The 22493-nt window shown below is 45.8% G+C and overlaps 1 protein-coding gene across 14 annotated transcripts in view, besides 2 other annotated features; it reads left to right on the plus strand.

The window, feature by feature from the left end:
* The window catches only part of TNRC6A (trinucleotide repeat containing adaptor 6A), a 216014-nt gene that overhangs the window by 61912 nt on the left and 131609 nt on the right, over positions 1–22493 (plus strand). The gene's annotated exons all lie outside the window — the stretch shown is intronic.
* Positions 11638–12228: an enhancer, noted in NCBI's record as "OCT4-NANOG hESC enhancer chr16:24695075-24695665 (GRCh37/hg19 assembly coordinates)". NCBI's record gives its function as "activates a minimal SCP1, AML or CMV promoter by ChIP-STARR-seq in naive H9 embryonic stem cells {active_cell/tissue: H9 hESC(naive)}" and the evidence as "EXISTENCE:reporter gene assay evidence [ECO:0000049][PMID:30033119]".
* Positions 14124–14623: an enhancer, noted in NCBI's record as "H3K4me1 hESC enhancer chr16:24697561-24698060 (GRCh37/hg19 assembly coordinates)". NCBI's record gives its function as "activates a minimal SCP1, AML or CMV promoter by ChIP-STARR-seq in primed H9 embryonic stem cells {active_cell/tissue: H9 hESC(primed)}" and the evidence as "EXISTENCE:reporter gene assay evidence [ECO:0000049][PMID:30033119]".

The following is a 22493-nucleotide window of genomic DNA, read 5'->3' on the forward strand; positions in this document are numbered from 1 at the left end:
TTTATTTTATTTATTTATTTTTTGAGACGGAGTCTTGCTATGTCACCCAGGCTAGAGTGCAGTGGCGTGATCTCGGCTCACTGCAAGCTCCGCCTCCCGGGTTCACGCCATTCTGCTGCCTCAGCCTCCCCAGCAGCTGGGACTACAGGCGCACGCCGCCACGCCTGGCTAATTTTTTTTTCTTTGTATTTTTAGTAGAGATGGGGTTTCACCGTGTTAGCCAGGATGGTCTCAATTTCCTGACCTCGTGATCCGCCCTCCTCGGCCTCCCAAAGTGCTGGGATTACAGGCGTGAGCCACCGCGCCTGGCCCTTTGTTTATTTTTTACTTGTTTATTTTTTTTGAGACAGGGTCTCACGAAGTCACCCAGGCTGGAGTGCAGTGGTGTGATCACGGCTCACTGCAACCTCAACCTCCTGGGCTCAGGCGATTTTCCCATCTCAGCCTCCTGAGTAGCTGGGACTACAAGCATGCACCACCATGCCTGGCTAATTTTTGCTATTTTTTGTAGAGACAGGAGACTTGCCATATAGCTGAAGCTGGTCTCCAACTCCTGGGCTCAAGTGATCCTTCCACTTCAACCTCCCAAAGTGCTAGGATTACAGGCATCATGAGCCGCTGTGCCTGGCCTGTTCTTCTTAGATGATACAGGCTGAAGTATTTAGAGAAGTGTCATGATGCCTGTAACTTACTTGTAGATATACTTACATACATATGCATGTATTTACATATAAATACAGCAAAATATTAACAATTTTTGAACCTAGATAGTTCATCATTGTGTCATCAATAGTACTATTCTGGCTGGGCACAGTGGCTCATACCTGTAATCCCAGCACTTTGGGAGGCCAAGGCAGGAGGATTGCTTGAGCCCAGGAGTTCAAGATCAGCCTGGACAACATAGTGAGACCCTCATCTCTACAAAAAATATTTTAAAACTTAGCCAGGTGTGATGGCACACACCTGTAGTCCCAGCTACTCAGGAGGCAGATGTGGAAGAATTGCTCGAGGCCAGGAGTTTGAGACCAGCCTGGGCAACAAAGCAAGACTCCCTCTCTACAAAAATTTTTTAAAAATTAAAAATAAAAATAAAAAAAGATAGTACTATTCTTTCAACTTTTCTGTGTGTGTACAAACTTTGATAATGAGAGTCCTGAGGGTAAGTAGAAAAGTAAGTAACTTGACCAAGATTGAAGGTCACACAGCTATCAAATTTCAAAGTGAACTCAAATCTGGTCCACTGGGCTTCAAAGCTATGTTCTGGAACTGTGTTCCACAGCCTTCCCAGAGACAGGGCTTCGCTCACCGAGGGATGCCTGTAGGTCCACTTTGCAAGGGGCCATGTCCCAGGCAAAGATAAGGAAGTAGATTCTGGCAGGGTGTGAGAATCCCACCAGCTCGAGCAGTGAAACAATCTTCCAACAACTCATTCAGGAAATTTATTTTATTTATTTATGTTTTTGAGACAGGGTCTCACTCTGTCACCCAGGCTGGAGTGCAGTGGTGCAATCACGGCTCACTGCAGCCTCAACCTCCCTGGTTTAGGTAACCCTCCCACCTCAGCCTCCCAAGAAGGTGGGACTACAGGCCTACGCCACTGTGCCCAGCTAATTTTTCTAATTTTTGTAGAGACAGACTTTTGCCAGCCCAGGGCTGGTCTTGAACTCCTGGGCTCAAGCGAACTACCCACTTCGGCCTCCCAGAATGCTGGGATTACAGGCATAAGCCACCATGTCCGGCCTCAAGAAATATTTTCGTGAGAACCGTGTAATGGGCACTAGCTGAAGTGATACAGTTGTCAATGACAAAAGTCCTCACCCTCGTGCAGCTTGGTGCATCCACGTCAGGTAACATTCTCAGAAGAGCTTGGCATCAGATACCATCCAAAACATTTCCATCATAGTTGCAGCAGAGGAAAGGGAGCTGGGAACCATTGTCTCTAATCTATGATCTTTTTTATTTTTCTTTTTTTGAGACAGGGTTTGGCTGTGTCGCCCAGGCTGGAATACGGTGGTGTGATCATAGCTCACTGTAGCCTTGACCTCCTCAGCTCAAGTGATCCTCCACCTCAGCCTCCTGAGTAGCTGGAACTACAGGCTTGTGCCACCACGCCAGCTATTTTTTTATTTTTAGTAGCAACAAGGTCTCGATGTGTTGCCCAGGCTGGTCTCAGTTAAATTAAGTTTAAATTCAATAGAGGATCACTTGAGCCCAGGAATTCAAAGCTACGGTGAGCTATGATCATGCCACTGCACTCCAGCCTGGGTGACAGAGCGAGATTCTGTCTCAAACTATATATAGATATATAAATAAAATAAAATAGTATGAAATGATTCAGCGTGCCCTAAACAGTGAGTTATCAGTTTGCCAGGATGGCATTAATAATCTGGAACTAATTGGAAAGAGACTTTGCAAGTTATAGAATCTGGATTTTAGGTGAAAGTGGGCCATCCTTTCCTCTCCGTTGCAACGGAGTTCCACATAAAAGCAGGCAAATTCAATGTATTGTGACAGAAGCTGAGACTCTGTAAAGTAATTCTTTTAAATATTATTTATTCTCTTACAACACTGCCCCCACCACACACACACACACACACACACACACACACACACACACACACATCTTTGTCTAAGTCTGAACAATCATGTGACGTAAACTTTTCTTAAAGGGATCACAAGAGAGATTATGGAAAGACTGCCAAAGTAACCATCTCTGTCAAGCCATCCAAATTCTCCACCCACCAGGCAGTGGTAGCTCACACCTGTAATCCCAGCACTTTGGGAGGCCAAGGCAGGAGGATCACTTGAACCCAGGAGTTCAAGACTAGCTTGGGCAACGTATTGAGACCACTGTCTCTACAAAAACAAAAATTTTTTTAATTAGCCAGTTGTGGTGGCATGCGTCTGTAGTCCCAGCTACTCAGGAGGCTGAGGTGGGAGGATTGCTTGAGCCCAGGAGTTCAAGGTCGCAGTCAGCTATGATGACACCGCTGCACTCCAGCCTGAGTGACAGATCGAGACCCTGTTCAAAAAACCAAAAACATTCTCCAACCAACACCAATTTTATGTAATTTTATAATCCCAACATGGGGGGAAATAATCAAAGAAACACAAGCTGTGTTGTGGACAGACAGAACACATTGGAATGAATTGCAAGAGAAGTACAAAAAGATATTTTGCATGAGAAATGCTGTGATTCTTAGATAGTACGTGCCTGAATTTCCTAAGATTTCAGGCTGCCGAAGGATACAGATGCATTTTAGCTTTAAAAGAGGCTCTCCAAGCCAGGCACTGTGGTTCATATGTGTAATCCCAGCACTTTGGGAGGCCGAGGCAGGTGGATCACCTGAAGTCAGGAGTTCAAGACCAGCCTGACCAACATGGTGAAACCCATCTCTACTATAAATACAAAAAATTAGCTGGGCATGGTGGTGCACAACTGTAATCCCAGCTACTCGGGAGGCTGAGACAGGAGAATTGCTTGGACCCAGGAGGCAGAGGTTGCAGTGAGGTGAGATCACACCACTGCACTCCAGCCAGAGACTCTCTCTCTCTCTCTCTCTCTCTCTCTCTCTCTCTCTCTCTCTATATATATATATATATATATATATATATATATATATATGCACACAACACACACAGAGGCTATTCAGTATCTAAATGGGGACTCATTTTTGATATGGGAGTACCCACATAGGGTCTAGGAATTCATACCACCTCTTCCTTTGCATTCCTGGAGACCTTTGCTGCTCTGTCTGCTGGAGGTTACACAAGTTCATCATCACAGAGTCCAGGATGTCCCACCCTTGGTTTTTCTTCCTACTCTTTTCCCACTTGTCCCAAGCAATCCTGCTTATCTTGCCTATTAGAACTATTCCCCACCAATGCATTAGGGCTAAATGGAAAAGGAAGGGCTGGCAGCCTCCCAGAGACTGAAATAACCTCAAGAATGGACATTTAATTCTGATAATGCCTCAGAATTCATATATGTGCCAATAAGATAAAAAGAATCAAAAATGATTTACACCCACTTATCTCCATTTGCTCACCTCTCAATCACTCCTCAACCTTCTCCCCTGCCCACTCCCTGCTTCTAAAATTCTTCTCATCAAGGTCACTGATGGCCTCCTTTTTGCACCAATGGAGACTTCTCAATTTCTTTCATTTTTTATTTTATTGTATGTATTTATTTATTTAAGATGGAGTCTCTTGCTCTGTTGCCCAGGCTGGAGTGCAGTGGCATGCTCTTGGCTCACTGCAACCTCCACCACCCACATTCAAGCAATTCTTCTGCCTCAGCCTCTCAAGTAGCTGGGATTACAGGCATGCACCGCCATGCCCAGCTGATTTTATTTTTAAGACAAGTTCTCACTCTTTCACCCAGGCTGGAGTGCAATGGCATGATCATGGCACATTGCAACCTCAACTTCCCAGGCTTAAGTGATCTTCCCACCTCAGCCTCCTGAGTAGCTGGGACTCAGGCACACGCCACCACGCTTGGCTAATTTTTTATTTTTTGTAGAGACAAGGTCTTGCCATGTTGCTCAGGCTAGTTTTGAACTCCTGGGCTCAAGCAATCCACCCCCGTCAGCCTCCCAAAGTGCTAGGATTATAGGCGTGAGCTACTGCACCCGGCCAAGACTTCTTGATTTCTTGACTGCATTTGATCACTCTCCTTCCTTCCAATTCTCTTCTCTGAAGACTCTATGACATCCCACTCCTATCTCTCTGAGTGCTCTTTCACCTTTTATTTTTGCTTGTTCCTTTTACTTTCTGTTTTCTTTTCCCCATGCGTTAGAAATTCCTATTCTTCAAGGTTCCTCTAGCCTTCTTTTCTCTCTGCTTTCACTGGTATGGCTTTAAATATCATTGCGTGCCACTAACTTTTTATTGTCTGTCGCCAATTCAGGCATCACTTCTGGGCTGATGTCCAGTTACCACCTGAACATCATCTGGTTGTCCTACAGACTCCTTAAATTCAACATGTCCAACTCTGGCCTTCTCATCCTTCCTTAAATCTATTTCCTGTCCCGTTTCCTTTTTTTTTCTTTTTTTTTTTTTTCCCTGACAGAGTCTCGCTCTGTTGCCCAGGCTGGAATGCAGTGGTGCAATCCCGGCTCACTGCAACCTCCACCTCCCGCGTTCAAGTGATTCTCATGCCTCAGCCTCCTGAGTAGCTGGGATTACAGGCACCCACCACCACACCCAGCTAATTTTTGTATTTTTAGTAGAGACGGGGTTTTGCCAGGTTGGCCAGGCTGGTCTAAAACTCCTGACCTCAAGTGATCCGCCCACCTTGGCCTCCCAAAGTCCTGGGATTACAGACGTAAGCCACAGTGCCCGGCCCCATGTTCATTTTTCTTTTGCTCATGGAAAGGCATCAGAATCTACCAGTTGCCCAAACTTGAAACATGGGAGTTCATCCCGAGCTCCTCCCATCCGCTCACTCACCGCCTGCAATCAGTCACAGACCATGTGAGTCTCCCTGTGAAACAGTGCGTGAATTACATAGCAACTGTCTTGTTTCTTATGCTCATGATCTCTCTAGTGGCCTTGTCTTGTCTCTGCTCTTCAGTAAACTCCATGAGGGTTTGAGCTTTGTCTGTCTTGTTCCCCCTTTTATCCTCAGTACCTAAAATAGTGCCTGGTGCAAAGTAGGTAGTCAGTACATATCTGTTGGACGAATGAATAATCGTCTATCACCTCTTCCCTTGAACTGTTTGTTTCCTCTGTTCCCTCCTTTCATATCCATTGCCCGCGTGGTTGCTGGATGATCTTTGTTTTGGTAGGTGTCCTGCAAGATGGTGCCAGGGATTCTTGCCTTTTGATATTCATACGCTTGTACAATCCCCTCCCCATGACGTGAGTGTGGGCTGGATGTAGTGTAACACTTCTAATAAATAGAATATGGGGCTGAGCGCAGTGACTCATGCCTGTAATCCTAACACTTTGGGAGGCCGAGGTGGGTGAATTGCCTGAGCTCAGGAGTTCAAGACCAGCCTGGGCAACATGGCAAAACCCCATCTCTACTAAAAATACAAAAGATTAGCCAGAGGTAGTGGTGCACACCTGTAATCCCAGCTACTCCGGAGGCTGAGGCATGAGAATCACTTAAGCCCTGGAGGCAGAGGTTGCAGTGAGTTGAGATCGTGCCACTACACTCCAGCCTAGGCAATAGAGTGAGACCCTGTCTCAAAAAAAAAAAAAAAAAATAGGCTATGGCAAAAGTGATGGAATGCCGCTTCCAGTATTAGGTGATAAAAAGCTTCTGTCATGCATGTCTTTGCTTCCTTGTCCCTCTCTGAGAGAAGACAGCTATTATGCTGTGAGCTGTCCCATGGAAAGGCCCACCTGGCAAGGATCTGAAGAGAAATCTCCAGCCAACAGCCATCAGGGAGATCTGCTGATGACCAGTGCATGAGCTTAGAAGCGGATTCTCCCAGCCAGGCATGGTGGCGCATGCCTGTAGCCCCAGCTACTTGAGAGGCTGAGCTGGGAGGATCACTTGAGCCTGGGAGGTCAAAGCTGCAGTGAGCCAAGATTATACCACTGCACTTCAGCCTGGGTGACAGAGTGAGACCCTGCCTCAAAAAAGATTCTCCCAACTTGAGCTATCACATGAGACCATAGTCCTGGCCAACACCTGATTGCAACCTGCGAGAGACTGTGAGATAATATTTGTCGTTTCAAGGTGCTGAGTTCTGGGGAAAATTGTTATGCAAATATAGATAACTAATACATGACCCAGGCTCCATTTCAAACTGTGAACTCTAAACCCTCTAATGACCCGAATTAACTTGTATATACACACTAGTGGTTCAGAGAGAGACTAAGTCAATCTAAAAGTACTAATATGAAAAGACCTTTAAAACATTGAATTTTTTTTTTTTTTTTTTTTGGATATAGAGTTTCGCTCTTGTTGCCCAGGCTGGAGTGCAATGGCACAATCTCCGCTCACCGCAACCTCCGCCTCCCAGATTGAAGCAATTCTCCTGCCTCAGCCTCCCGAGTAGCTGGGATTACAGGCAAGCGCCACCACGCCTAGCTAATTTTGTATTTTTAATAGAGACGGGGTTTCTCCATGTTAGTCAGGCTGGTCTCAAACTCCCAACCTCAGGTGATCCACCCACCTTGGCCTCCCAAAGTGCTGGGATTACAGGCTGAGCCACTGCGCCCGGCCAAGACATTGAATTTTTTTTTCTCTTGAGACAGGGTCTCTCTCTGTTGCCCAGGCTGGAATGTAGTGGCACAATCTTGGCTCAAGGCAGCCTCGACGTCCAGGGCTCAAGCGATCTTCCCACCTGAGCCTACTAAATAGCTGAGACTACAGGCACATACCACCATACCTGACTAATTTTGTTTTTTTTGTTTTTTTTCAAAGACGGAGTCTTGCTCTGTCGCCCAGGCTGGAGTGCAGTGGTGTGATCTCAGCTCACTGCAACCTCTGCCTCCTGAGTTCTAGCAATTCTCCAGCCTCAGCCTCCCAAGTAGCTGGGACTACAGGCACACGCTGCCACATCTGGCTAATTTTTTGTATTTTAATAGAGACAAGGTTTTACCACGTTGCCCAGGCTGGTCTCGAACTCCTGAGCTCAGGCAATCCACCCGCCTCGGCCTCCCAAAGTGCTAGGATTACAGGCGTGAGCCACCCCACCTGGCAATTTTATTTTTTTTTAGAGACAAGGTCTCACTATGTTGCCCAGGCTGGTCTTAAACTCCTGTACTCAAGCAATCCTCCCGCTTCAGCCTCCCAAAGTGCTGAGATTACAGGTGTGAGCCACTGTACCTGGCCCACTGGATCTTTAAACAAGATTCAGAACAATATTCACTCCAGGATATCATCCATGTAAAATAAAATACAACTTAACACATTACATGTCTTCTGTAGCTACACATAAATGTATATAAATGCATTTAAATAAATCTGGAGGTAAACATATCACCTGATAGCTAGTGATTTCCTGGGGGTGCTTAAGAAGGAATTAGCTTTTGTCCACAGTTTTTAAAAATTTTATATGAAGAATATATTTGGCCAGGTACAGTGGTTCTTTCCTGTTACCCTAGCACTTTGGGAGGCTGAAGGCGGGAGGATGACTTATCCAAGACCAGCCTGGGCAACATAGCAAGACCCTGTCTTTATGCAGAAAAAAAAAAAGTATCTGGGCATGGTAGCATGTGCCTGTAGTCCTAGCTACTCTGGAGGCTGAGGAGGGAGGATTGCTTGACTCTGAGAGGTCCAGGCTATGGTGAGCCATGATCACACCACTGTACTCTAGCCTGGGTGACAGAGTCAGACACTGTCTCTTAAAAAAAAAAAAGGAGGCCCGGTGCGGTGGCTCACACCTGTAATCCCAACAGTTTGGGAGGTCGAGGCAGGCAGATCATGAGGTCAGAGTTCAAGACCAGCCTCACCAACATAGTGAAACCTCATCTCTACTAAAAATACAAAAATTAGCTGGGTGTGGTGGCACGCACCTGTAGTCCCAGATACTTGGGAGGCTGAGGCGGAAGAATCACTTGAACCTGGAGGCAGAGGTTGTGGTGAGCCAGTATCCTGCCACTGCACTCCAGCCTGGGCAACAGAGCAAGACTCCATCAAAAAAAAAAAAAAAAGGAACTATTATTTATTAGGAAGCGTTTTTTTGTTTGTTTGTTTGTTTTTTGACAGGGTCTTGCTCTGTCACCCATGCTGGACTGCAATGGCACGATTTCAGCTCACTGCAACCAACCTCTGCCTTCCATGCTCAAGCAATCCTCCTCAGCCTCCCGAGTAGCTGAGACTACAGGCGTGCACAACCACACTCGGCTAATTAAAAAAAAAAAATTTTTTTTTTGAGAGACTAGGTCTCACTGTATTGCCCAGGCTGATCTCAAACTTCTGGGCTCAAACAATCTTCCTGCCTCAGCCTCCCAAAGTGCTTAGACAGTAAAGCTTTTTATAATAAAACCAAAATAACTCAGAACCATATCAAACAGAAAGTAAAAGTCCATGTTAGCCCCATCTCTCCAATTAATAATTATTAACAATTTGTTTTATATTCTTCCATACCTTTTTTCTAAATCTAATAGATAAAAAGGATCCTATTTTATTTACCATTTTTTAACTTGGTGTTTTTTGTTTGTTTGTTTGAGACCGAGTCTTGCTTTGTTGCCCAGGCTGGAGAGCAGTGGCGTGATCTCGGCTCACTGCAGCCTACACCTCCTGGATTCAAGTGATTCTCCTGCCTCAGCCTCCCGGGTAGCTGGGATTACAGGCATGCGCCACCATGCCCAGCTAATTTTTGTATTTTTAGTAGAGACAGGGTTTTCCCATGTTGGCCAGGCTAGTCTCAAACTCCTGACCTCAAGTGATCCGCCTGCCTCAGCCTCCCAGAATGCTAGGATTGCAGGCGTGAGCCATCGCACCTGACCTAACCTGTTTTTTTTCTATTAGTAATATATTGTGGACATATTTTCATAATCATTCATAGTGAGCTACTAATTTTTTCTGCCTAGTTGCATGTCATTCCATTGTATACATGTGTTGTAATTAGTCCAACTGTTAAAATATAAGCTCCATGAAAACAGGGCTTTTTCAGATTTATTTGCTGCTCTATCCTTAGGGGCTAGAACAGTGCTTGATGCTTAATAGGCACCCAACAAATGGGAATTAATTAATTAGTCAACTACTGATAGACAACTGGTTTGATTGTACCCCAGTACATTACTATTTTCACACTACCATAATTATTTCCTTGAGATAAATTCCTAAAGATGAAACTGCTGAGTCAAAAGGGATGCATATTTTAAAATGTTGCAACGTGTTGCCAAACTCCTCTGTATTTAGCTTGTACTATATTATATTCCCGCCCATCTGTCGATGAAAGCACCTCTGTTCCCCACGGCCTCGCCAGTATAAGTATCATTCATCTCTGATGTAAGTTGTGATAGGATAGTCAACTGTCTGTAAATGTTGTACGGGGGAATTGGAGAGTGGCTATTTTGTGAAACTGGGCAGAATGCACACAGTCTACCAGATCTACTTGAGTAATTAATGTAAACAAAGAATGCATCAGTCAAGGGAAGGAAAGAGAAGACATGTTCAAATTAGGTCATGAAAGGAGGACTTGTTTGATTTTTTTTTTTTTAAAGGCAGGGTCTTGCTCTGTTGCTCAGGCTGGAGTGCAGTGGTGTGATCTCAGCTCACCGCAGCCTCAACCTCTCAAGGTCAAGCGATACTCTCACCTCGCCTCCCAAGTAGCTGGGACTACAGGCGTGCACCACCACGCCCAGCTTTTTTTTTTTTTTTTTCAGTAGAGATGGGGTTTTGCCATATGGTCCAGGCTGGTCTCAAACTCCTGGACTCAAGCGGTCTGCCTGCCTCGGCCTCCCTAAGTGCTGGGATGACAGGCATGAGCTACCACACGCAGCTGAAGGAAGATTGAATAGAGGAACTCTACAAACGGAGGGCAGAAAACCGCAAGGATCCACAGGACTAATTAGGCTGGCTTCTGTTACCACCCCTATGCCTGAAAGGCCAAGGGGAAGAATGACCACTGTACCCTAGAGACTGAGAAGCCTATAGAGAGAGGGCCACCGAGGTGGGAAATGTGACTTTAAGGCAGCCAGCACGCAGAATGACCGCAGAGAAGCAGCCAGAGAATAAATGCCCCAAGCCCCGTCTCCTCCCTTCCTCAATCATCTTCTGGGGCTCCCTATTGGTCAAAACCAATGGGAAGCCAGAAGACAAGGGAGCCCATCGAACAGTGTATACACTTAGCCTCCCAAGACACAAGGCGTACACCAAGTGTTCGATAAATGCATCATTGAATTTAACCCTCACAATAATCCTTCAAGATAGTTGTTTACATTCTAATGGAAAACTGAGGCTCAGAGAGATTCATTAACTTGTCCAAGGTCACCAGCTAGTTTTGGAGGCTCCAATGCCCTGGGCTCATATGTGCTATGAAGCTTGGAACTGAGAGCAAGGAGACCCCATGACGAGCACAAACTCTTATCAGATACTGGAAGCCCCCAAAACAGCTCTAGTGGCAGGAAAAGGCTCTCCTGCAGTTTTTTGGGTTTTGGTGTTTTTTTGTTGTTGTTACTATTGTTGTTTTTGAGACAAGTTCTCACTCTATCACTCACTGGAGTGCAGTGGCACAATCATAGTTTACTTCAGCCTCAACCTCCTGGGCTCAAGCAATCCTCCCACCTCAGCCTCCCAAGTAGGTGGGACTACAGGCATACACCACCATGCCCAGCAATTTTTTAAATTATTTTGTAGAGACGGAGTCTTGCTATGTTGCCCAGGCTGGTTTTAAACACCTGTGCTCAAGCGATCCTCCCACTTGGCCTCCCAAAGTGCTTGGATTACAGGCATGAGCCACCGTGCCCAGCCCCTATCCTGCAGTTTTTATGACATGTGAGATGGTAGCTCAGGCAAGGCTCAGCAGACAAGCCACAGCTGTGTTCATCACCAACATCAGCCACCCTCTTCCCCATGGGAGGTGGTAGAGTGCCGTGCTAACAGCCCAGATTCTGGAGGTAAACTGCCCGAGTTCAAGTCCTGTTTCTGCCACCGACTAGCTGTGCAACCTTGGGCAATTTCCTTAGCTCTTCTCGCTGTCCTCAGTTTCCTCATCTGTAAAGTAAGGACAACCACAGGCCTCAGGACTTAATGAGGTAAAATAAGGAGAGTGCCCTGCACCTAGTGAGCCCTAGCAGGTATAAAGGTATTATAGGCATCGACACTAACTCACAGTGAACTGTTGCTTCCCAGTCTCTCTTCCCCTTCAAAGGTACTGATGTGTGAGCTCTCCCTAATTAGACTCTGCACCCTAAAGCCAGGAGTGTCTTGTCCAAGCCTCAGTGAGCTTCTTAACAGAGTAGTAGTAAATAGTTTAGTCTTTGTGAATCAAACATCTTTGTCACCACTATTCAACTCTGCCATTGTAGTGCAAAAGCACCCATGACAATCCTTAATGAATGGGTGTGACTGTATGTCAATAAAACTTTATTTATATGGCTGGGCACAATGGCTTATGCCTGTAATCCATTTGGGAGACTGAGGTGGGAGGATTGCTTGAGCCCAGGAGTTTGAGACCAGCCTGGGCAACACAATGAGACCTCAACTCTACAAAAAAATAAAATAAACAAGATTAGCTAGGTGTGGTGGTGGCACGTGGGGTCCCAGCTACTTGGGGGGCTGAGGTGGGAGGATCACTTGGCCCCCAGGAGGTAGACGCTGCAGTGAGCTGAGATCGAGCCACCGCATTCCAGCCTGGGCAACAGAGCGAGGCCCTGTCTTAAAACAAAAACATAACACAATTTTATTTATAGATGCTGAAATTTGAATTTTACCTAATTTTTACATGTCACAAAATAGTATTCTTCTTTGGATTCTTTTTCAGTGTTTTAAAATGTAGGGCTGGGCACAGCAGCTCACACCTGTAATCCCAGTGCTTTGGGAAACCAAGATGGGAGGATCACTTGAGGCCAGGAGTGCAAGACCAACCTGGGCAATAGAGTGAGACCCCATCTCTACAAAAAATTTAAAAATCGGCTGAGTGAAGTGACAGTTGTCTTTAGTCCCACTTACTCAGGAGGCTGAGGTGGGAGGATAACCAGAGCCCAAGAGTTCGAGGTTACCGTGAGCTGTGATCACATTACTGCACTCCAGCCTGGGCAACAGAGCGAGACTGTGTCTCTAATAAAAATAAAAACTAAAACCATTTTTAGTTCAAGGCCCACACAAAAGCAGCCGGTGTCAGGCAGGACAGACCCTCTAACAATGCACATGAAACTTCACTTTCTTCTAAACTCACTCTGAGTCAGGCCTGGGAAGCCCTTTTAGAGATAAAAGCTACCCTGGTCCCTACGGAATCCAGCTTCTGACACTTGCCTCCATGCTCTTGGGAACTTCAGCCCCTCTGGCCTTCTTGCAGTTCTTCCAAGAGGCCAAATCCTTCCAAACTCAGGGCTTCCAGAGGGGTCTCTCTCTCTCTCTGAACTGGAAGCACCTGCCCATCCACAGGCTGTGTGATCCTAGAATTGCGTTTGTCTTCTTTTCTATGATACTTCCGGGGCCCGACATAGTGCTTAGCTTAGAGTAAGTGCTCAAAAAATGTACAGGAAATTTAACCTCACAACAATCTTTCAAGGTAGTGGCGTATACACCGGTAGGGAAACTGAGGCTCAGAAAGACTAATTAACTTACCCAAGGTCATATTGTATTCTTTTTTGGCAGAAAGGGGAGAGACAAGACCTTACTCTCTGTGGCCCAGGTTGGAGTACAGTGGCACCATCTTGGCTCACTGCAACCTCCGCCTCCCAGGCTCAAGTGATCCTACCACCTCAGCCTCCCAAGTAGCTGGGATTACAGGCACGCACCACAATGCCCGGTGAATTTTGTTTATTTTTTAGTAGAGATGAAGTCTCACTTTATTGCCCAAGCTGGTCTCAAACTCCTGGACTCAAGCGATCTGCCTGCCTTGGCCTCCCAAAGTGCTGGGATTCTGGGTGTGAACCACCGTGCGCAGCCACATTGTATTATTCAGCACAATGATCTATTGCCCAAGCACTCTGAAAATGTCTTAAATTCTGGTGCCACTACCAACTATCTGGTGCCCTTGGGCGAGTCACTCCATCTCTCTGTGCCTCGGTTTGCTCATCAGTAAAATGGGTATGATAGTAATAACTAGGTTTTCTCTGTTGAGTTGTCATGAGGATTAAATGAGTTCTAGATCCAAAATGTGTAGAAATGTGCCTGACACAACAGTTGTCTATCCAGTTCCCAGTTCTGAAGGAGACAGAGGTCTTAGGTCTGGGCACAAAATGGATTCATCCTTCAGCCCTGGGTTGGCATGACCCCTAGAACTCTTTGTGGGCTAGCATTGCCATTCAGCCCTTAGTGCTGAGGATGTTGAGGGGCCTTGGAGGAGAGCCCACTGGACATTTCTAGTGAAAACCAGGACCTCTTGGACCTGGCTTCGTGGGGGTTAAGTCCAACCAGAACGTGTTTATTTTCCCCTGTGTCTGGAAGGGCCTCTCCGGTCTCCATGGCAACGCGATTTCCTGTCCTGGTTTTCTCTTGGATGAGATACCTGCTGAATGCAGAGGCGTCTGGGCAAAAGCCTGGGGTGGAGACGGGCTCTGGGGCAGTTCACTTTAACCACTTCCCTCACGCGAGCCGAGAGGCCAGCCTGGCCAGGACCCATGTCACCAGAGCCTTTGTTCACCAAGTCCAGACATCCAATTTAGGATGACATCATGGAATCCAGCCTGGAATCCTTGTTATGCCCCATTTTCTTTCTTTCTTCCTTTCCAAGGGTTTTGTTTCTTCTTGAGGCTGCAGAAACAGAGGCTCACACACATCCCCAATTTGCTAAGAATATTTCTAAACCCTTCTCATCACAGGCCATCCCCTGCGTCTGGGCACTTCATAAATAATTATTTACTCATTCTTTCTTTCATTTGTCAGTCATTTGATTCATTCAACAAACATTTGCATAGTAGATTAAGCGCCAAAATGATGTTGGAGCTGAAGAAGCAGAGAATAGATCTGGTCTTTTCTCTCAAAGAGCCTCTACTTGGTAAATGGAGACAGGCATGTAAATAAGCACTACACAATAGGATCGGTGCCGCGACAGAGGCCTCTGCAGGGGTGGTATGGCGTCACCGTGGGAAGCCCGAGCTCTGCTTTCTGCCTGCGTTTGGATTCCCCTCCTAAACCCCCTGGCCTTAGATAAATCTCACCCTGAGCCTCAGTATTCTCATCTGTAAAATGGGAATAACGATGGCACCTACTTGGATGGTTCGGAGTCTGCATTTGGAGTGGGACAGACATTCAGATTTCAGCTCTACCACTTACTAGCTCTGTGTCCTTGGGCAAGTTACTTATCCTGTCTGTTAAATGGGGACTGTCCTAGTGCCCACTTCACAGAGCTTTTTGAGGTTTAAATAAGTGAATGCATGCACTTAGAACAATGCTTTTAGTCTTGCCTGTCTTAAATACCGCTAACTCACGGAACCCTGTGAGTCCATAGGAGGGAGATACTAGGTCTCCCTAGGGAATTAGGGGATGGGCCCTACCAGAGGAGGCAGCATCTAGATAATTAGCTACTTATATAATATCCATTCAATGTCTACATCTCCCCTACTTGAGTGATGTTAGAGATCATGTGTGCCTCCTTTCTCCATCTTATCTCCACCTCCTACTAAAGCCCAAGGAGGTGGAACTCAGTGGATGTGTGGATGATGAATGACTAAAGGATGAATTCTAGCCTCTTTATCATGGCACGTAAGGTCTTTTACAATTTGGGTAAGATCCTCTTAGTCTAATTTCTGGAAATTCTTCTTGGCCCTATCACCTTGGGCTCTAATGGCAACAAACCTTAATAAGCCATGCATGGCCAGGTGCAATGGCTCATGCCTGTAATCCCAACACTTTGGGAGGCCAAAGCAGGAGGATGTCTTGAGTCCAGAGGTTCAACATTAGCCTGAGCAACATAGTGAGATGCCCTTTCCCATCTCTACAAAAATATTTTAAAAATTAGCTGGGTGAGGTGATGTGCACCTGTAGTCCCAGCTAGTCTAGGGGCTGAGGCAGGAAGATCACTTGAGCCCTGAGGAATCCAGGCTACAATGAGCTATGATCATGTTACTACACTCCCGTCTGGGTGACAGAGCAAGAGAAGGAGAAGGAGAAGGAGAGGAAGAGGAAGAGGAAGAAGAGGAAGAGGAAGAGGAAGAAGAAGAAGAAGAAGAAGAAGAAGAAGAAGAAGAAGCAGCTTATTCCAACTTTCTTGGACATGCTTCTTTTCTTTTCTTTTCTTTTCTTTTCTTTTCTTTTCTTTTCTTTTTTTTTTTTTTGTCGCCCAGGCTAGAGTGCAATGGCGCGATCTCTGCTCACTGCAAGCTCCGCCTCCTGGGTTCACGCCATTCTCCTGCCTCAGCCTCCCGAGTAGCTGGGACTACAGGTGTCCACCACCATGCCCTGCTAATTTTTTTTTTTTTGTATTTTTAGTAGAGACGGGGTTTTACCATGTTAGCCGGGATGGTCTCGATCTCCTGACCTCGTGATCTGCTGATCTTGGCCTCCCAAAGTGCTGGGATTACAGGTGTGAGCCACCATGCCCAGCCTGGACATGCTTCTTTTCTTAGCTAGTAGGTGAAACCCTACTCATTCTTGTATTCATACACTCACATTGTTTCAAAGTAACAAGTGTGATAATTGAAGGGATGGTGTACAGGCTTCTACAAGCTACACTGTGAATGAGATGGTGTCCTCTCACCACGGCCCTTTCCACCTCCTCTCCACCCTTCTGGAGCCACTTGAGGCATTGACCCTCACCTCCAGGGAAGCAGGAAAAGTGTGGAGTCTGATAGATAAAAACCAATTCTATTTCATCCTCTGTGTCAGTGATTGATTCAGAAATCCAGGCCTAAGTCAATCAGGACATGGCATTTGCCTAGAGATAAAGAATGATTTTAAGACTGGGCAATGACCCAACTAAGTCCAGTGAGGTCCAGAGGGAAGTCAGACAAGGGGCTCATGATCCTTAAGAGCGAGCCTCAGGATGCACACATCTCTCCCCTTCTGGAGATTCCTGAGTGTAGAAGCTAGGCCAGCACTGTAGCTGCTTTCTCTCTATGAGCCTAGGAATGAAACCTATATAGGAATGAACCAAGGGAAATGCACCCAGAGTCACTGGGTCAAATCAGACTTGAACTCTATTCAGAATCAGGACTTTATGGATACAATGAATTTCCACATTGGTTAAACCAGTTAGAGGTACGTTTTGGTTTAAAACAAATTGCCATGGCCAGGCACAGTGGCTCATGCCTGTAACCCAGCATTTTGGGAGGCCGACGCGGGAGGATCTCTTGAGCCCAGGAGTTCGGGGCTGTCATGGTCTATAATCATGCAACTGCACTCTAGCCTGTGCAACAGAGCCAAGGCCCTATTTCCAAAAGACAAAATAAACAAACAAAAAACACAAACAAAAAGCCAGGAACATCCTAACTATGCTAACTGGTGTAAACGTAACGAACTATTGTAACTGATATAAACGTGGGAATCTGACCTGGACAGAGGGTTGGCATCCAACCACTTGGAGATACTAACCATCAAGCTGCAACATAGACACAAACAAACAAGCAACACATGTTCTTCCAGAGAAGAGTGACATGATCACAGCCAACGCTTTAGGAAGAGCCCTCTGGTGGCAGCGAGGAAGGTGGGCAGGATTTGAGACCGGAGGCTTGGCCATGCAGCAAGAGGATGTCTGATATGGACATGGATCAAGAACAGATTGAAGAAGACATTTAGGAGTGAAGGCTGAAATCCGCACATTGATGAGAATTCTTCCTCAGACTCCAAATGTTCATAGTCCATGAGACCACATGATGGGCCTGGAGAAAATTTAGGAATATTCATTCATTTGCTCATTCATTCATTTATTCATTCATTTATCCATTCAGTACATTTTTCGGAGCTCCTATGTACCAGCACTGGGCTAGCCACTAGGGATAGAGCAATGAACAAGGCAGATACAAATTGCTGCCCTTATAGAGTGCACGTTTTAGTGGAGGAACAGACAATAAACAAAATGAATAAGTACACATATAAAGTCAGTTATATGGTGACACATGCTATGAGAAAAAAAAATTTGAGACAGGGTCTCACTTGTTGCCTAGGCTAAAATGCAGTGGTGCAATCATAGCTCACTGAAGCCTCGAACCCCTGGGCTCAAGCGATCACCTGCCTCAACTTCCCAGTTAGCTAGGACTATAGGTACCTACCACCAAGGCTGGCTAATTTTAAAAAATTTTTGTAGAGACTGGGTCTCATTATGTTGCCTAGGCTGGTCTCAAACTCCTAGGCTTAAAGTAAAAAAAAAAAAAAAAAAAAAAAAAAAAAAAAAAAAAATTTTTTTTTTTTGAGATAGGGTCTCATTCTGTCACCCAGGCTGGAACACATGGCTCACTCAAGTCTCAAACTCCTGGGCTCAAACAATCTTCTTGTCTCAGCCTCTTGAGTAGCTGAAACTACAGGCACATGCCACCATGCCCAGCTAATTTTTGTATTCTTTGTAGAGATGGGATCTCACCATGTTGCCCAAGCTGGTCTCAAACTCCTGACCTTAAGTGATCCTCCCATCTCAGTGTCCCAAAGTGCTGAGATTACAGGCATAAGCCACCGTGCCTGGACAAGAAAAAAAAATTTTAATGGAAAATGAATAGGAAATAACAAGGAAGGGAAATTATTTGGCCAGGAGTTCCCAATATATGGTCTTCAAAAGTGGAGGTTTTTTTCCTCAACAAAAAGCTTCAAGGGATGGTATCTTTCTGTATTCTATGGCAAACCAGGTGCACAGAAATAATTTCTATTATAATAAAATAGCCTTAATATTCATTGGGTGCCTACTACATGAAAACATCTGTTCACAAGTATTATTTTACTTCATCTCCATTTCATAGATAAGGGAAACAAAAGTCAGTGATGTGAAGAAAGTCACCCAAAATGGCACAGTGGCAGTAGTTCTGAACCCAAATCTATTCAACAACAAAGCAAAATACTTTGCTTTGCTTTTTAACTGTATGCCAAACCAGTAGGGTAATGCCTCTTAAATCCAAATTCAAGCAACTATAATCACTAGTACTTAATATGACAACTAAAGAGAAAATAAGTGAAAATAAGTTCTTTTCTTTCTTTTTTTTTTTTTTTGAGACGGAGTCTTGCTCTGTCGCCCAGGCTGGAGTGTAGTGGCGAGATCTCAGCTCACTGCAAGCTCCGCCTCCTGGGTTCACGCCATTCTCCTGCCTCAGCCTCCCAAGTAGCTGGGACTACTGGCGCCCGCCACCACGCCCGGCTAATTTTTTTTGTATTTTTGGTAGAGACGGGGTTTCACCGTGTTAGCCAGGATTCGTCTCGATCTCCTGACCTCGTGATCCACCCGCCTCGGCCTCCCAAAGTGCTGGGATTACAGGCCTGAGCCACCGCACCTGGCCCCTGATGAAATATTTCAAATGTGTTCCATGGGAAGAAATATAAGGTCTTTGGAGGGTAAAGATAGTTAAGCCTGCTCTCAAGCCCTGACTAGTCTTTTCTCTAATTAGTATTCTTTTCCTTTTTTAGAAACAGAGTCTTCCTCTATCACCCAGGCTGGGGTGCAGTGGTGCAGTCATAGCTCACTGCAACCTCGAACTCCTGGCCTCAAGTGATCCTCCCACTTTGGCTTTTCAGAGTGCTGGGATAACAGGCATGAGCCACTGCGCCCAACCCATTTTACATTTTTAAATAAAGCATCAAGCTCATAGACAACAATACAATGTAGATTCTGGAGAAAAAGGAAACATTTAGAAAAACATCTGAAAGGGGCTGAAAGGGCCAGACGCGGTGGCTCACACCTGTAATCCCAGCACTTTGGGAAGCCAAAGTGGGCAGATCAGTTGAGGCCAGGAGTTCGAGAACAGCCTGGCCAACATGACGAAACTCATCTCTACTAAAAATACAAAAATCAGCCAGGCGTGGTGGTGCATGCCTGTAGTCCCAGCTGCTCAGGAGGCTGAGGTGGGAGGATCACTTGAACCCGGGAGGCAGAAGTTGCAGTGAGCTGAGATTGTGCCACAGTACTCCTGCCTGGGCAACAGAGTGAGACTCTGTCTCAAGAAAGAAAAAGAAATAAAAGAAGGAAGGGAGGGAGGGAGGGAAGGAAAGAAGGACAGACATCTGGAAGGATACACTATAAACTCAGTGAACTGAGCAGAAAAGAGAAGCCCAGGACTGACAGCGGCAATTAAAGGACCCATCACCCTTAACTGCTAGGTTTTACCTTTTTTCAAAGGAGGATATATTCATATATTATGTGTGCAACTAAAATAATTTTCTAGCAAGTTAACTTACAATTTAAAAAAAAGAATGAGTGAATAGGAGAGGAGCGAGGCAACACAAGTCAGGGTGTCCACAAAGTATACTTTGCTTTCCTTTTTGACCATTGGGTCTCTAACATGGGGTTTCCATGCTACAGGGTTTCTTTTGTACAAGAAATAGACAGGGAGTCCGTTCTCTGAAATCTAGTTGAGTCGTGGCTCTAAGCAGCAAAGATCTTCATCCTTCTTGGTCTATTTCTGGCCTCCAACAAACCTTAGGGAACCTCTGGAGATTGTAATTTTAAAATACAAAAGGGAGGCCGGGAGTGGTGGCTCACACCTGTAATCCCAACATTTTGGGAGGCTGAGGCAGGCGGATCACTTGAGGCCAGGAGTTCGAAACCAGCCTGGTCAACATGGTGAAACCCGTCTCTACTAAAACTACAAAAATTAGCTGGGCATGGTGGTGGGCGCCTGTAGTCCCAGCTACTCAGGAGGCTGAGGCAGGAGAATCACTTGAACCCGGGAGATGGAGGTTGCAGTGAGCTGAGATCGCACCACTGCACTCCAGCCTGGGCGACAGCGTGAACCTCCATCTCAAAAAGTAAAATAAAAGAAAATAAAATAGAGGGGATAAATAAAATAAAACAAAGTAAAGTAAAATAAAATAGAAAAGAGGCTGCAGTGAGCCGTGATTGTGCCACTGCATTCCCACCTAGGCAACAGAGCAAGACCCTGTCTTAAAAAAAAATTATATATATATGTGTATATATTATACATATATATATGGTGTCATATTATACATGTAACTCTGAAATTTACACAAGAGGCAGTCAATTCTAGACATCTAACACCTCACCAGGAGCTGTTCTTAGTGAAAACTCAGGGAGGAAAAACAGGGGCACTAATATTTATCACAGTTCCTGTAGGCACTAGACACTGCACTAAACTACTTATCACAAATCTCAGAGGTCTCCGATTTGAGCCAAAGTCATATTTACATTCGGGTAAACCGGTAATATATTCCTCACTGTAGTCTACTTAAAATAATAATTTAATAAGCCGAATAATCCTATGAAAAATAATAATAAACACACTCACACTATTAAGATGATGTAGTGAGATACTGACTCATTTTATTTCCAGCGGATTTCCCTCCCTTGTTCTAAGAAGGACACCAAACTTTGTGTTCTCTCACGAGAAGAGGGTTGCAGTGGCTCACATCTGTAATTCCAGCACTTTGGGAGGCCGAGGTGGGAGGATCACTTGAGTCCAGGAGTTCAAGACCAGCGTAAGCAAAGTGAGATCCAGTCTCTACAAAAAAAAAAAAATTAGGCCAGACGCAGTAGCTCACGCCTGGAATCCCAGCTCTTTTGGAGGCCGAGGCAGGCAGATCACTTGAGGTCAGGAGTTCGAGACCAGCCTGGCCAAGGTGGTGAAACCCCGTCTCTACTAAAAATACAAAAATTAGCCCAGCATGGTGGTTGCACACCTGTAATCCCAGCTACTCGGGAGGCTGAGGCAGGAGAATCGCTTGAATCCGGGAGGCAGAGGTTGCAGTGAGCCGAGATCGCGCCACTGCACTCCAGCCTGGGTGACAGAGCGAGACTCCATCTCAAAATACATAAACAAATAAAATAAAAAATTATCCAGGCATGGTGTCATGCACCTGTCATCCTAGCTACTCAGGAGACTGAGATGGAAGGATTGATGGAGCCCAGGAGGTCAAGACAAGCCTGGGCAACATGGCAAAACCCCATCTCTACAAAAAATACAAAAATTATCTGGATATGGTAGCATGTGCCTATAGTCCTAGCTACTCAGGGGGCTGAGATGGGAAGATCAGTTGAGCCCAGGATGTCACGGCTGCAGTGAGCCAAGACCGCCACTGCACTCCAGCATGGGTGACAGAGTGGGACCCTATCTCAAAAAAAAATGTTTAAAAAGAGGGTTGATTAACATGGAAGAAAGCAGAAGTAACTCCGAAAACAACCCTCATTTCTGGCTTTGTTTTTCAACATATTATTATTCTGGGACATGTATGGGGTCATCCCCAAGGACAAGAGGAGAAACACAAGTATCTCAAAGGGAGGAAGGGCAGAGCAGTGACAGCCAAGGGGAGCAGAAGAGTCCCCAGGACTAGAAATGAGCCAGAGACTGGCAGACCCCACAAGAATAGAAGACTCACGCCTCCCCTCTTACAACACCCAGGGAAAGTGACAGTGCTTAAGAGGGAAAGGACCTCATGGTGGACACTCGGTCTCTTGCCTGAGGCTCCCAGCATAGCCAGGCCCCCGTCTCCGACCTCAGCACAATAGCAGCCAAGCCCCCTGTTTCCAAAACCCCAACACATGGACACAATGACCCTAACTGCAGTGATCCAAGTATAAGACTAGTGAGCCTTGCTGGGCGCGGTGGCTCACGCTTGTAATCCCAGCACTTTGGGAGGCCGAGGCCGGTGGATCACGAGGCCAGGAGATCGACACCATCCTGGCTAACATGGTGAAACCCTGTCTCTACTAAAAGTACAAAAAATTAGCTGGGTGTGGCAGCTTGTGCCTGTAGTCCCAGCTACTCAGGAGGCTGAGGCAGGAGAATCGCTTGAACCCTGGAGGCAGGGTTGCAGTGAGCCGAGATCG

Source organism: Homo sapiens, chromosome 16, assembly GCF_000001405.40.
Source record: "Homo sapiens chromosome 16, GRCh38.p14 Primary Assembly".
NCBI classification, from domain to species: Eukaryota; Metazoa; Chordata; class Mammalia; order Primates; family Hominidae; genus Homo; species Homo sapiens.